A 14,855-nucleotide genomic window follows, 5' to 3' on the forward strand; every position below is an offset into this window, starting at 1 on the left:
TGCCGTGGTTTCTAAGGACTGGAGGTTTCCCTCTAGCCTGCTCTTTATTTATTTTGGAAACATTAACAGAAACACAAGTGGATATGTAAGAAAGGAGGTTCCAATTAATAGTACTCATGGTTTACAGGGTAACCGCTTTATAGTTTTTACTGAACTGTCTACAACTTTAGCACTTAAGAAAACCAACAAATTCAAATCAATTTCATGCCACTGTGTACATACATTCTCTTATTCAAGAAGTATGTATGAGTGCCACTCGGTGCCAAACCCAGGTCCAGCCTCCAGGGAGCTCACAGTCTAGTAATGGAGATAAGAAAATTGGAGATTTGGTAGTATATGATGATAGTTGTGATAAAATATTCATAACCTCAGTGAGTCAAAACAGATTTCACAGGGAACTTAATGTCTAACATTAAGTGGAGAGGATCACCCCAGACAGGTACAGCCTGCTCGGAGAACTGCCAGGACCTCCAGTGGGGTGAGCACGGAGCTCAGGGGTCAGGGCCAGGAGGTGACTGGAAGCATCTCACATTTTGTTGTGTAAGGACTGAGCATCCTCCGTGCAGACAGGGGTGTGGAGTCAGAGTCCTGTTGCCTGTTTACATCAGCGTTTATCCTTTGCTCCATCTCGTGGCATGACAGAACTTTTAACAACTGAAAACTGCACTGCCTTGCCACATGTATGTTTATTTGCACAATGGCTGTGAGAGCAAGCTGGATCTACCATGCAATGGCTGTGCTCTATCTCCTCTGTGTGGGAAATGCAGGGTTCTGAAATGAAAAAGTCAGGCCGGATTCTCAGGCTTTCTTTGCCACCTGCTTAAGAAAGTGCCCGTTTTACTGAACGCACAACACAAAAGTTTCCATCTTCTTCCTCATATGGAAATTTTATGTGAAATTTTCCCTTTTTTTTTTTTTTTTTGTTCCTTCACTTCCAGAATCACAGGCTGCCTGACAGGATTAGCACGTTCCAGGTTCCAACTAAAGCCGTCTTTTGATTGCAATTGTGGTGATTGAGTCTAGGAGGAAAACACAAATGAATTCTCAGCCCTGGGATTGAGTGACATTTAATAAAAAATACTATTTGTTTAACCTGATTGTTATGTTTTTTGAATTATAAAATGCTGAGCATTATGATGGCTGCCAGGTTATGTTATCTACTACTTGATTTTAAGTGCTATCTGTGGGATTTACATGTAAACTGTAAATTGATGTTTTCTTTTTCTTACCTATACAACAGAAAATAAAGGGTTTCAGAATTTTTATATCACTGGATATTCTGGCAATGAAATATTAAATGGCTTTAGGAGAAATGTGTTTTTTACAGGGGAAAACAGGACACATTATAAACCTCTCCATCACTCTAATCAGGCTTCTGACAAGAAAATAATAGGGCTGCGCAGGAACACGTCTGTTCCCATCCCAAGCACGGGGCTCTAGGTAAAGACATAGCACAGACGGTTAGTTAGCGGAAAGTGGAGAGGTGCCTTTTGGAGAGATGTTTGTTTGAATATTTGTATTTGCTTTGCAAGGCTAAGCAGCACCCTTTGGTTAATTTTGAGGGTGTTTTGGCATCTGTCACCTGAAGTGTGTGACTCACCCAGATTCTGACTCAATAGATGGAAAAAGACTAACCTGCTCACAAGATATTCATTTCATGGGTGAGGAGTTCTGTGAATTACCATTTTACTCTACTCTCTAATGCTCTGAACATATTTCACAAAGAGATCCATTTTGGCTTTCATTTTCATTTTCTCTTAGTTTTCTCTTATTTTCCAGGACATCTGACTCTACCTCCTTAAAAGTGAAGTGACTGTGAAAATTGATTGTACCTTCTTATGTGACACTAATTTTGACCATCCCTTATGGTTGAGAATCTCATGCAATGCTTTGGATGTTCCATCAACAACATGCCAAGTCCATGAGGTTTCATAGGCCGTGCTCTTGGGGAGTCATCACAGCTCTGGGTTGTCCTACCATCAACACCACCTGGCACCCACCTTGCCACCAGGGTTCAAACTCAGTTCATTGAGAAAACTGTCTCAACCCCAAGAGTCAAAGTTTAGGTCAATACTGAAACAATCACTCATGTTCTTGTTGGTGAAATCTGTAGAAATGGTAACTCAGGAGTGAAATCAACCACAGCAACTCTCCATTCATGGTGAGGTGTGGGGTATACAGTAGAGAAAATCAAGGTGTTTGAGATGAGTCAGGCTTTGGGGTGACTGATGCTCACTCAGCTAAGCATCCGGACTGTCTGGGTTGCCCTTCATGTCCACTCCCCCTCGTACTGTGTGTTTTAGCTATCTCTGGACTTTTGCATGCTGACTTTCCTCCAGCAGATTGTCAACCTTTACTACTTGCTACACTCAGGGTCTATTCTCCTAACTTCCTCCACTTTTCCTTCTGTTTCTATACTGATGTAGCTTAAGAAACAAAATAATCAGCTGGACTTGAGAGGCTGATGTTCTCATAAAATAAGGCGGGAAGCTTGAAGCCAGGTCTTTGTGGTGTAACAGAGGCTGGCTACCTCCCAGATGAATGAGCTTCAGGGGGAAATTAAAGTACTGCTGTCAGCAGCTTTTATTTACTAATTCCTGTTGTGAACTATGTACAAATGTGGACCTAAAATACGAGATAAGGGGCTCCTCACTAATAGAGTAAATAGGGAAAACGAAAGGGAAAGTCACAGCCAGCTAGTAGAGAAATAAGCTGTAGCATCTTGCTTAACGCATGTATATAGGTTTTCAAACAGGTTTAATCGATTTCAATTTTGAAACTTGAAAAGTATTATGGCAGTATCTCATGTAATATTATTTTACAGTTGATTGGACTGACAAGATGTATAATTTTTCTATTTTTTTATAGTATTTATTATAATGTAATTGTTATTGTATTTTAAATTAGTATTTAATATAATGATAACATTTGTTTATAAAGTCTATAACTTTTAAGAATGAGACACAATCAATCTCTTAATGGCACCAAATAATCATTTCCACATAGTCAATGTTATTTGAACAAATGAATAAACAAACTCTGGAAAATCATCACAAAAGCAGTCTCCACCATCTCATCAGCACTGGGAAGCTCTGCGAAGCTGCCTGGGGCGCTAGCAGGCAGACACAATGCCGTCGTAAAAGCCTCCCTGTTTTTGCAAGGGATAGGTTTTACAACCAATAATTAAACGATTAGGACATTCCATCTCTTGTCACCATGAGGTGGGACCCTGCTGTTCTAGATTTTCCATAACACTGAGTCATCGACAAAATTCAAGATTCAGAATCTTCTCTACGAATCTTGACGTATTAAAGCATTTACTTGTAAACTAATGGCAAATGCTTATATTAAATTTAAATAAAATATTAGAGCAGTTAATCGCGTCTTTTTTTCCATTCTACTCACCTGAGACATGGGGCAGCTTGAGAAGTTTCTGGAAATGAGGTTAGGTTAGGCACAGATTCTCAGAAATGATCTATGCAAAAGACTTTGGAATTATAGTGTCATTTTTTTCAATCCTATCAAATTTACTACTGAATATATTAAAGTGTGGAAAGTTGAGAGATATCAAATGTCACTGAATAAAAATGAGATCAGATTTATAATTTGGAAGATTGTGTCATCATTTGGTGTCTGAATTTTTTTGTTGTTGTAATTTCTGCCCTCTCCCATCTAGACTACTTAACATTCTTTTGCCCATTATAAGTTATCATAGCCCATAAATTTGACAACTTCATTAAAATCCAAACGAGGACACTAATATTTGGCCCATTTCTTCTGGCTGACATTTTTTGTTCTAGAAATTATCTCTCTTTACCTGTGAATACCCAGTTTACTCTCTACTATTCCCTAAAGTTAGCTTTCACTCAAATACACATTTACAATTATAAAGTTACTTTATTTCCATTTAGATTGCTCCTGGTCTCCACAGAGATAGCAAAGATTTCAAATGCAACAGGCTATTTAGCAGAAACAGCCATTTTCTTTTATATAAATTGTTATCTTAGTTCAGTTATTTTGTCTTTAAAAATACATTGCTTCAAAAAAATGCAAACTGAACTATGCTTAATTCAATTCTTTCCATTGGCATGTAAATTTTAATTTACAATATAGCACCAGGTCCTTTTAGTGGCTTTGTTTAAATTGTTAGAGAGACTAAGACTATTTTAATAAACAATTTCAGAAATACAAAAATCTAGGGAATAATACGCTCCAGTTTATGACCGTACAAAAATATGTATATTCACCTATCCTGCTAATGGGCATTCTGTTTATTTCCATTGTTTATTATAATTTAAAAATTACTACATCTCTTTATTGACCATTACAAATTCTTCTTCTGTCAATTGCTTATTCTTATCCTTCAATGTTTTTTTTTTTCCTTTTTTGGTCTTTTCTTTTTGATTTATTAGGCAATTTTAAATAGTTTGATTACTACTTCTTTCTGTGTTATATGCACTGTCAATCTGTTCTTCCCTTCAATGGCTGGTTTGTTGTTTTTACCTCAGAACATTCGGTCAAGTGTTTCAGAGGTTAAACTCTATTTGTATATTTATTGCCTTTATGACTTGTACTTTTTCTTTATGGCCTGATTTCGATAATTCTTTTCTCCTTCACAGACCTAAAGAGCTTTTTCTATATTTTCTTCTACAATGTTGAAGTTTTATTTTTTACATTTAATTTCACATTGAGTAAAATTTATTTTTTATCTGTTGTGAACTAGAGATCTGCCTTTTCCATGTGGATATCCAACTTCCCAGGAATATTGAAAGAGAAGCAAATCTTTTTTTTTTTCTTTTTCTCTTTTAGTATACAAAAGGATGTAACAAGATCCCTAGGACAAATCTGATGTTAACTGAATTAAGTGGATTAGTATTAAATTAACTGGCCCGATAATTACAGGAAGGCATTATAAGTCCCTAGGGAGCCCAAGGAGGGTGAAGCCTCATGCCCCTTTGGGTAGTAATACAGGGACTAACTATACTCCTTGCTCCCACAGGACAGAACATTCTCTAGGTTTTTCATTCCCGACTCAGTAGCACTCAAAGCTTTTCTTAAGGTAAATTAAAGTTATGGAGAAAGGCATCACTCTGTAGCCACTGTTTTCCAAGAGTAACATTCCAAGGCAGTATCTAGGGAGCCAGCAAAGATTCTGTCCTGTCTACCATTTTCCCATGAATGACATCATAATAGAACCTCCCGGTCTTATTGCCTTTTCTTATTGGTAACAAAAGATGACAAACTAGGTAATTTATATTAAAAAGTTTATTTAGCTCATAGTTCTAGAGGCTGGAAGTCCACAGTGCCGGCATCTGTGAGGGCCTTCTTGCTGCCTCACCTCATGGCAGAGGGCATCACATGCTCAGAGTGGGAGCAAGGGAGCCAGGGAGAGCTCACAGGCACAAGAATAACGCTGCTGTGATAATAAACCCACTCCTGGGACAGCAACATTCATCCCGTCATGAGAACAGAGCCCTCATTCATCCATTCATCTCATCATAGGGGCAGAAGGATTACATTTCTAACACATGAACTTTTGGGGGACACATTCAATACCTAGCACTCCCAAAATATTCACTAAGAGTGAGAGTAAATTGATTTAATTTCAGACTGTTCTTGGCAGTCCATAAGTAGAGATTTCCAAGTTTTACAATAGAGAATTAAAATGATTGAAAAATATTCTAAAAAAAAAAAAACAACCTGCAGAAGAAAGCTAGAAAATCAGAAGATGAAATATTTTTTAGGCATAAAATATGCATGCAGTTTATAGACAATGGAGATGTGCTAACTCTTGAAAACGTGCTTCGACATCTCAAATTGCTTAAGGCTTTTGCAACAAAATAACTTACCAGTGTCAGGCCATGGTAGAATATGAGTTCACAATGAATTTTTATGCCTGGGTTTCTGTGACCCAAGTTATGCTGAAGAATATGAGAGACACCACCTTTTAAAAATTTTTACATAGCCTGCGGCCACTGCAATTCGTTAATCCCTTTGGAAAATTGCTTAAGCCTGGCATGTTTTGTAATGAACTTTATCTCTTCACTACCAAAAGTCGTAAAAAGGAACTTCAGTGAGGAAAGAAACACAATTGATAATTGAATATTTCAAAGAGATCAGCATTTTAGAAAACTGGGTATGTATTAATATGCTATATCTGACATATGACATGAAAATGACATATATAATATAATTTTGTTTATACTATTATATATTTTATACATTTTGTGTTATAATACATTTTGAATATATGTATATATATACACATACATATATACACACACACAATATATATAGGAAAATAAAATTAAATATTATCAGAATGTTTATTTCTTGATGATGGGAATTTGAGTGGTTCTTTTTTTACTTTATTTCTATTGTTATTCATTTGGTATTTTCCAAATTTTGTTCAGTGATTTTTTATTACTTTTACAATGATAGACATTATGTTTGGAGGCAGAAAAAAGAAGGGAACAGACAAGAAACGTTCATTTGAAAATTCTAAATGCAGAACATACCTGAAGTCAAAGTGTCCCCCGTCACTGAAAAACCAAAGCCACCAATATCAAAGAAGCGTGGGCCCTTCCGCCCCCTACTGTCTATCTTCAGTAACTGTCCAGTGAGTCTCCGCCTTTTGTTAGCAGGAATCTAAGAATCTCCTGGGAAGCTTGCTGTTTGCAAAATTAGGAAATCTTGAGCTACATCCTCAGATAATCTGAGGCTGGATACCCTCAAACTATACTGTGAGAAACATCATCAAAATTAAGTTACATGACGTGATCACAGCTATAGTAATAAAATCAGAAAAAATATGGACATCATATTTAGAAACACAAATTGGCAACGAGATTTCTTTCAGTTTTAAAAAAGTGTATTAGTATATAACATAATATAGTATGTATTAAAATAATATACATTTAAGGGTATATAAATATATGCTTAGTACACATTGTCAGTATTAATATCAATACATTACCTTTTATACATATGTATGTGTGTTTGTTTGTGTATTTATGCACATGCAGCTTTATATTTGCCTATGTAGTTGTATATATGTAGAGTGCATAGTATAGTGTGGATGTGTGCGTATGTGGTATGCATATACCACACACACAGAGTCCTGCACATACACACACAGAGCCATGCATCGTTTAACAATGGGGATACATTCTGAGAAACGCATCCATAGGTGATTTTGTTGTTATGCAAACATCATAGTGTGAACTTTCACAAAACTAGACAGAAGAGCCTACTACACACCTACTGCTGCTAGGCAACAAACATGTACAGCCTGTTATTGTCCTGAATACTGTAGGCAATTGTAACACAATGGTATTTACATATCTAAACATAGAAAAGATACAGTAAAAATATGGTATAAAAGATAAAAATGATGCACCTGTGTAGGACACTCACCATGAATGCAGCTTTCAGGACTGGAAGTTGCTCTGGCTGGGTCAGTGAGCGAGTGGTGAGTGGATGTGAAAGCCTTGGACATTACTGTATGCTACTGCAGACTTTACAAGCACTGTACACTTAGACTACACAAAATGTACAAAAAAATTTCTCTCATCAATAATGAATTAACCTTAGCCCACTATAACTTTTTTTACAGTATAAACTTTTCACTTTGTTTTAACTTTCTGACTCTTGTAATTACACTCCACTGAAAACACAAATCCACTGTATAGCTGAACAAAAATATTGTCTCTTTTTATATCCGTATTCTATAAGCGCTCTTATATTGTTTAATTTTTTAATTTTTAAACTTTTTTGTTAAAAACTAAAACACAAACCACACAATAGCCTACACCTACACGGGGTCAGGATCATTATCACTGTCTTCCACCTACATTTCTTGCCCCATTGGAAGGTCTTCAGGGGCAACGTCACGCATTAAGCTGGCATCTCCTATGATGACAATGCCTTTTTCTGGATAGCTCCTGAAGGAAGTGCCTGAAGCTGTTTCACAACTGACCTTTTAATAATATATTAACATAAAGAGTACAATCTAAAATAACAATAAAAACTATAGCATATTAAACTAGTAACCTAATCATTTATTATCATTGTCAGGTATTATGTGCTATACCTTATTGTATGTGCTGTATTTTTATATGACTGGCAGTGCAGTAAGTCTGTGTACACAAGCATCACCACGAACACAGGACTAATGCATTTTGCTACAGTCTTACAGTGGCGACTGCCTGATGAGTTGGCAGGAGTTTGCCAGCTCCATTATAATCTTGAGGGATCACCATGGTATATGTGGTCCTTCGTTGAACAAAACGTTGTTATGCTGTACACGACTGTATGTACTTTTACAAATAATGCTGCATTTGTCTTTTTAGAAATTATCAAGATCCTAACCTGCGATTAACATCTGCATTTTAACTCTAAAGCTGATAAAAGCTTTTCCTCACTTTGAAGTTATTTGAAGTAGCAGGTTTTTTAAAAGATGACATATATAAGTTCTTAAAAATCATTATTTACTAATTTCAGCATTTCTTCTGAGCTAAGTTTAATATTGTAAAATCTCACAAGCAATTTATTTAAGGTCAGTTAATGACATTGAAGCCAAATTCCTTTTTAAAATACGCTCTCAGTTGCAATTGAACACAGTTACACGTGCCTCTTTGAAGGAAAACGTAGGCACAGTGATAAATGCAGCGTTTCCTTACCCATAACCAAATAGAAATAGCTGCATCAACATTCCGAGCCCAGGACAAATAGGGCTGAAAAGAAAACAAGAAAAAATCATCAGTTTGGCAGCAAATCCACTGTCACTATACTCCCTGGCACTTGCCTTTGGCCTGGAAAGCACTTGTCAATAACGGCTTCTTTGTTTTCTGAGACGTCATCTGTAAATACTGAAATATTGAAACCTAGTCCAGGCTTTGATACCGCATTCTTAAACCTGTTTTGAAAACCTGAGATAATTGCTTTAAAAATGCCTTCATCTATCTGTTATTTGATTTAGAAATACATTGGATTAGGTCTTATAAGTCAAGCAGAAACTTGTCTTTTTTTTTTTTTTTTTTTCTAGACGGAATCTCACTCTCACCAGGCTGGAGTGCAGCGAGCAATCTCGGCTCACTGCAGCCTCTGCCTCCTGGGTTCAAGCAATTCTCCTGCCTCAGCCTCCCGAGTAGCTGGGATTACAGGTGTGAGCCACCACACCCAGCTAATTTTTGTATTTTTAGTAGAGACAAGGTTTCACCATGTTGGTCAGGATTGTCTCGACCTTCTGACTTCGTGATTCACCTACCTCAGCCTCCCAAAGTGCTGGGATTATAGACGTGAGCCACCATGCCAGGCCGAAACTTGCCATTTTTAAACATACACACTTGTCCTTTATGTGATGTTCTCCTGGTGCTGAATCTGTCTGCCATTCCCAGATTGTGGAGTTGGGGGGTGAAGTTCCTGAAGTCATTTCTAGGAGGGACTCAGTATCCTATATTCATCACAATTGATGCTGTAACCACAGCATGAGATGCTGTGAAGAACAAATGAGATAAATAATGTGAAAAGGCTATGAAATGAGTGAAGCCCCATGTAAACAACTGGTACCAAAAGCTTCTCACTGCTACTGAATTGGAAGAATTAAGAAAGAGGTGGATGTCAGCTTTCTTTCCTCCTCTAGTCGATTCACTTTTCCCCAAACGCCTGGTGAAATGTGACTCTCGTGTGTGTATTAACTGCAAGAGTGTCACAAACACTGCCTTCCACTATGCCTCTGTGGAGCAAACTTAACAGTAAAATTTAATCTAAAAATTTGTCTTGTCTTTTTTATGCAGCTTTTTGGATTGGCTCACAGTTTTCCTACTTTTCTGTCCTGTCAGTTGAGAAGAATACATTTCAAGAGATGCTCTTGGAAAACACGTTTGATGGAGAGGTTGATTTTTGTAACCTGTATGCCGTAGTCAGGTACTCTTGGTTCTTGGTATAAATTAGACATATAACGGAAAATTCTATTCTATTACTAGAACTCTCTGGAGCCCCAAAGCAGGGTCCCTGACAGAAACTGCATCTCCAGGGGACCTAACCACTGTTAGAACTTGGGGCCACGGGGTGAGGAAGGCATGAATGCCAACCCTGTGCTAATATCTCCCTCCTCCCACCTACCACATGGGAGCCCAGGCAATACAATCTATAGAAATCAGCTTCCCTGACTGAAAAATTATGTAGGAAAAGGGAAGAATTAATGCAGGTAAATGAAAGAAACCCAGCACACCCCTAATGTCTACTATATAGCTGTTTATAGGCATCCCAAAATCAATCAAGAAGGTGTGCCTGACACTTTGTAGATTTCTTGAAAGATTTCCTTTCTCTGCACATCTCTATCTCCCTCTCTCCCTCTCTCTGAGTCTCATCCTCCTCTTCATTCTTTTCTCTTCTGCCCCTTCCCTCTCCATGCTATCTCTTGCTCTTCTCCCTTCCTTACCCTCTCTGTCTCTCCCCATCTTTACTCATTATGGCTACTTTGCCTGACTACTCTTGAGTTATTTCGACTTGGACTAGAAAAGAAAAAATGAGAGCCAACAAAATGGAACAAAGAATTTGCCCTTTCTCCTGAACATTAGCATGTTTGGTGATTTATGTGTAGCTTTCCTAGGATAATATGAGACTCATGTTTACAGGGAACATGGAAATCTAGGAAACAGAGACAGAAGTCACCTTCCTTCCCCCCCACTCCCTCCAATTGCATCACTGTACTGGACCCATGAATAGACACCAAGGGGGCAGGCGCGGTGGCTTCCGCCAGTAACCTCAGCACTTTGGGAGACTGAGGCAGGCAGATCACCTGAGGTCAGGAGTTAGAGACCACCCTGGCCAACATGCAGAAACCTCTTCTCTACTAAAAATACAAAAATTAGCTGTATGTGGTGGGGCACACCTGTAATCCCAGCTACTTGGGAGGCTGAGGCAGGAGAATCACTTGAACCTGGAAGGCAGAGGTTACAGTGAGCAGAGATCACACCACTGCACTCCAGCCCAGGAGACAGAGTGAGACTCCGTCTCAAAAAAATATAGACAGCAAGAGCCCACTGTGGGTTAGGCTCTGTGCCTGCTGCCAGAGAGTCTCAGGGCCAAACGTTAGTATTCAGTGGCAGAGGTGAATAAGTGACTCGATGGACAAAAGTCATATTATAGCAACTAAACTACTTTACATGCTGGAAAACAACCAGATTTTGCTCATATTACCTTAAGAGATCCAAGTGTTTTTGTGAACAAAATAGCCAAGAACACAGTGCTGCAACATCTCCTTTTTAGCGAATTTACCAAAGGTGTATGCCAGATAAGAATATGTATATAAGGTCACTTTATATTTGGCAGTGGCTATGCAAATAATTGTAGTTTTGATATGAATTGATCACCGTAGCAGTGACCTCTCCTACTCTGTGGCCATGCGTGGATGTGAACTCTGTAAAGAGGGAGAGAACTAAAAGCATCAGGGCTGGCTGCTCGACAGGACTCCTCCACTCCGTTTGTGTTTCCTTTTCTTTCTTGCAGAAGAGCCGTCCTCTGGCAGATATGTGAAAGAACTGCCTATGAGGAGCGAGAGGCTACTTCGCACACCTCGCAGCTCAGGTCCCCGGAGACGGCTTTACAGGCACACAAGCCCCTCTCCCAAGCCATCTGCCAGGAGCCCCATGAGGAACACAGCACAGCGCCTGCATCAGAAGCCCATGGGTTTGCCTATCACATGTCTTGTTTTCTCCTGATCCGTGGCTCACAGGCTCAGTGTGACCCAACCTCCTAGATTTCCCCATCAGTGCTATTTGCAGTGCCCCCAAGCACTTTCCTCCACTCCAGTCCCTGAGCGCATGCCAACGGCCCTATTTTCAGCCACCCCTCTCCATGCCTCTTGTCTGTCTCTAGCTGACAAGCAGATTATCTCTTCTGTCCACTTTGTTTGCCAATGTACTTTGGCACCATTGAATTCCAACACATGAAGTAAACTGAACTGTGTACAACGCTGAGCACACACGTGGTTTGGAGAGCAGCCCCTTGTCAGGATCCAAAATGTTCCCAAGCCTTGTTGATATTTGGGTCACTGCAGATCTCTGAGTCCCCCTTCCTTTTTAATCTTCTTCCCCTCAACTCATTCTCAATTTCTCTCTCTGAAACCACCTGTGAACACACTTATGCATTCAAATAGATGCATACTGTTCATGCTTATATTTTTCTGTAACCGTCATATCTAATAAATACTTATCATCCAGGAAAAAAATGTTGTTGGGCAATAATAACATGCTAAATAATGGCAAGTCCATTATCATATTTTTGTAGCAGTATTTCCTTTACTTGTCACACACACTTGATGGAAAACTTCAAAAAGTTAATTTGAAGCAGTCTTTTCAGAAAACAAAACTGAGTAAAATCATTTACCATCGTTCAAAAGAGCAGTCCCCAATATTAACAGTAGCAGGGACCCATTTTGTCCACGGATGTGGTAGGTGGGGGATGGTTTGGGGATGAAACTGTTCTTCTCAGGCATTAGATCCTCATAAACAGCACCATCTAGATCCCTGGCATGCGCAGTTCACAGTAGGGTTTGCACTACTGTGGGACTCTAATGCCGCAGCTGATCTGACAGGAGGCAGAGCTCAGGCGGTTGTGCCCAATTGCCCACCACTCACCTCCTGCTGTGCATTCCTTACAGACCACGGACCAGTACTAGTCTGTAGCCTGGGGATTGGGGACCCCAGATTTAAAACGCTTTTTTAAAGATTGGCACAAGTATGCCTGTTTTTGCTGTAATTATATTAACTGCATATCTGTACACTATCCCGACTAGCCTGGCTTTTATTTCTGCTTCTTCACTTTGGTGACTTCTGTCTCTGTTTCCTGGATTTCCATGTTCCCTGTAAACATGAGTCTCATATTATCCTAGGGAAGCTACACATAAATCACCAAAGATCCTAATGTTCAGGAGAAAGGGCAAATTCTTTGTTCCATTTTGTTGGCTCTCGTTTTTTCCTTTCTAGTCCAAGTCAAAATAACTCAAGGGTAGTTGGGCAAAGTAGCCATAATGAGTAAACACTTAACAGGGCGTTTCACCCAGCAACTGTCTGCAGATAGCAGTTGCATGAATCATGCAGAACACGTGGATGTCTGTTAGTCTCCAGGGATTACCAGGCTCTGACTCAAGGGTGGAGTTTGGTTACAGAGGCACTTCACATGCCTCAGCAACCTGGGTAATGTCAGTTGATCCTATTATAGGCAGAGGATCAGCAGTATTCAGACCAACACTGTGTTCATTCAGTTCCAGTCCAAAATTACAGTGGCACAGCCAAATAAATCTAGGTGGCACAGAAAAAGCTACTTATAATAGAAGCTACTGGAAGTCCAGCTTAGCTATGGCTCCAGGCTTAAACAGATTCCCCTGTCAATATCCTATTTGTCACTCCAGGACGGTGTGTCAAAGCAACGGGCTAGGTTTCACCCTGCCCCTGCCTTCAGTTTCTTTGATGTTTAAATGCCTCTGTACAGGAATCTGTTTGAGAAACAGATCTATTTTTATTCATAATTACTTCTCCATCTGTCTCGGTATTTTCTATAAACAGAGATTAACGTCCTGCGTGTTAACCTATTTTAATCTGTGAACTATTCAGAGCCAAAATGTCTTTTTAAAGAGTAACAAGATGATATGAACATTCTGTTTCACAAGGCAGAGCTGAGCGTTACTGCAGGTTCTTCAAACCATTCAAAGAAGAATGGCTTTAAAAATAAAGTCTAAGGAGCGTTTCATTCACTACCATGAAACTACATATCAGCTTGATTTTTTTAAGCTAGCAGGAAAAAGCGTTCTCATGAAATGTTTAACGTGGATATTTGTCTTTGTGTGGGTTCTCCCTTTGATGTATTTGGAGGTAATTTAAGAATGAGGGTTTGGGACTGGTAGGGCCTCCATCATTTATTACACAATCTTGAATAAAACCCTGAAGTTCTCATTTCTTTAGGTTCTCCATACATAAAATGGGAACAAAAATGCCCAAGTCTAACTGAAATGTTATTGAAAGGATGATATAAAGTAATGTGAAAAATATATAAAGAATTGCCCAAATATGTGAAATCCTGTTATAACTAAATCTAGAGTCATTAGGTGGAACTCAACCATTACTACATAAATAAATGGACATTAAAGACTCATTGACTTCACTAAATCAACATCTGTTAAACAATTGTATAATATATGCCCTTGTGGATTTTGTGGCAAAGCTGAGGGTCTTTGAAATATAAGAAGTGAATGCTTGCATTGCTCATCTGAAAAATAATTTCTATATCTAGACATGTCCATTTCTAGCTATAAATGATAAAAGTTTGTTTCCTCATTCCACGGCTATATTTTTGTCACATACTGTTTTTTGTTTGTTTGTTTATTGAAACAGAGAATCGCTCTGTTGCCCAGGCTGGAGTGCAGTGCTGCCATCTCGGCTCATTGCAACCTCTGTCTCCCAGGTTCAAGCTAATCTCCTGCCTCAGCCTACCTAGTAGCTAGGATTACAGGCGCCCGCCACCAGGCCCAGCTAATTCTCCTGCCTCAGCCTCCCAGGTAGCTGGGATTGCAGGTGTGTGCCATCACGCCCAGCTAATTTTTTTTTTTAATTTTTAGATATGATGGGGTTTCCCCATGTTGGCCAGGCTGGTCCCAAATTCCTGACCTCAAGTGATCCACCCACCTTGGCCTCCCAAAGTGCTGAGATTATAGGTATGAGCCACCATGCCTGGCCTGTTTTTTAATACAGATAAAAACATACTATGAAATGAACCATTTTAAAGTGTACACTTCAGTGGTTTTCATGTATTCACAAAGTTGCACATTCATCACTACTATATAATTCCCAAAT

General features: G+C 39.1%; 2 long non-coding RNA genes across 2 annotated transcripts in view, besides 6 other annotated features; one reads left to right on the forward strand and one right to left on the reverse strand.

The window, feature by feature from the left end:
- The window catches only part of MANCR (mitotically associated long non coding RNA), a 27,886-nt gene continuing 13,031 nt past the window's right edge, over positions 1–14,855 (reverse strand). Inside the window, exons 2-4 of the long non-coding RNA NR_024475.1 lie at positions 9,269–9,496; positions 7,417–7,541; positions 1–1,019 (exon numbers count right to left, since the gene is read on the reverse strand). This is a non-coding gene — a long non-coding RNA (mitotically associated long non coding RNA). The remainder of the gene's footprint in view (positions 1,020–7,416; positions 7,542–9,268; positions 9,497–14,855) is intronic.
- Positions 5,972–12,235, forward strand: LINC00705 (long intergenic non-protein coding RNA 705). The gene is given in 3 exon segments (NR_015425.1): positions 5,972–6,136; positions 9,798–9,927; positions 11,515–12,235. It is a non-coding gene; the product is annotated as a long intergenic non-protein coding RNA 705 (long non-coding RNA).
- Positions 11,153–12,136: an enhancer, noted in NCBI's record as "H3K27ac-H3K4me1 hESC enhancer chr10:4703529-4704512 (GRCh37/hg19 assembly coordinates)". NCBI's record gives its function as "activates a minimal SCP1, AML or CMV promoter by ChIP-STARR-seq in naive H9 embryonic stem cells {active_cell/tissue: H9 hESC(naive)}" and the evidence as "EXISTENCE:reporter gene assay evidence [ECO:0000049][PMID:30033119]".
- Positions 12,137–13,119: an enhancer, noted in NCBI's record as "H3K27ac-H3K4me1 hESC enhancer chr10:4704513-4705495 (GRCh37/hg19 assembly coordinates)". NCBI's record gives its function as "activates a minimal SCP1, AML or CMV promoter by ChIP-STARR-seq in primed H9 embryonic stem cells {active_cell/tissue: H9 hESC(primed)}" and the evidence as "EXISTENCE:reporter gene assay evidence [ECO:0000049][PMID:30033119]".
- Positions 12,137–13,702: a biological region, named in NCBI's record as "CDK7 strongly-dependent group 2 enhancer GRCh37_chr10:4704879-4706078".
- Positions 12,503–13,702: an enhancer, noted in NCBI's record as "CDK7 strongly-dependent group 2 enhancer chr10:4704879-4706078 (GRCh37/hg19 assembly coordinates)". NCBI's record gives its function as "activates an origin of replication core promoter dependent on BRD2, BRD4, P300/CBP, MED14 and CDK7 cofactors, with strong dependence on CDK7, by STARR-seq in HCT116 cells {active_cell/tissue: HCT116}" and the evidence as "EXISTENCE:reporter gene assay evidence [ECO:0000049][PMID:35650434]".
- Positions 12,973–13,267: an enhancer, noted in NCBI's record as "tiled region #4530; HepG2 Activating DNase unmatched - State 5:Enh, and K562 Activating DNase matched - State 5:Enh". NCBI's record gives its function as "activates a minimal TATA promoter and a strong SV40 promoter by Sharpr-MPRA in HepG2 and K562 cells {active_cell/tissue: HepG2 | K562}" and the evidence as "EXISTENCE:reporter gene assay evidence [ECO:0000049][PMID:27701403]".
- Positions 12,993–13,287: an enhancer, noted in NCBI's record as "tiled region #14147; HepG2 Activating non-DNase unmatched - State 5:Enh, and K562 Activating DNase unmatched - State 5:Enh". NCBI's record gives its function as "activates a minimal TATA promoter and a strong SV40 promoter by Sharpr-MPRA in HepG2 and K562 cells {active_cell/tissue: HepG2 | K562}" and the evidence as "EXISTENCE:reporter gene assay evidence [ECO:0000049][PMID:27701403]".

The sequence above is a fragment of the Homo sapiens genome, chromosome 10 (genome assembly GCF_000001405.40).
Source record: "Homo sapiens chromosome 10, GRCh38.p14 Primary Assembly".
NCBI classification, from domain to species: Eukaryota; Metazoa; Chordata; class Mammalia; order Primates; family Hominidae; genus Homo; species Homo sapiens.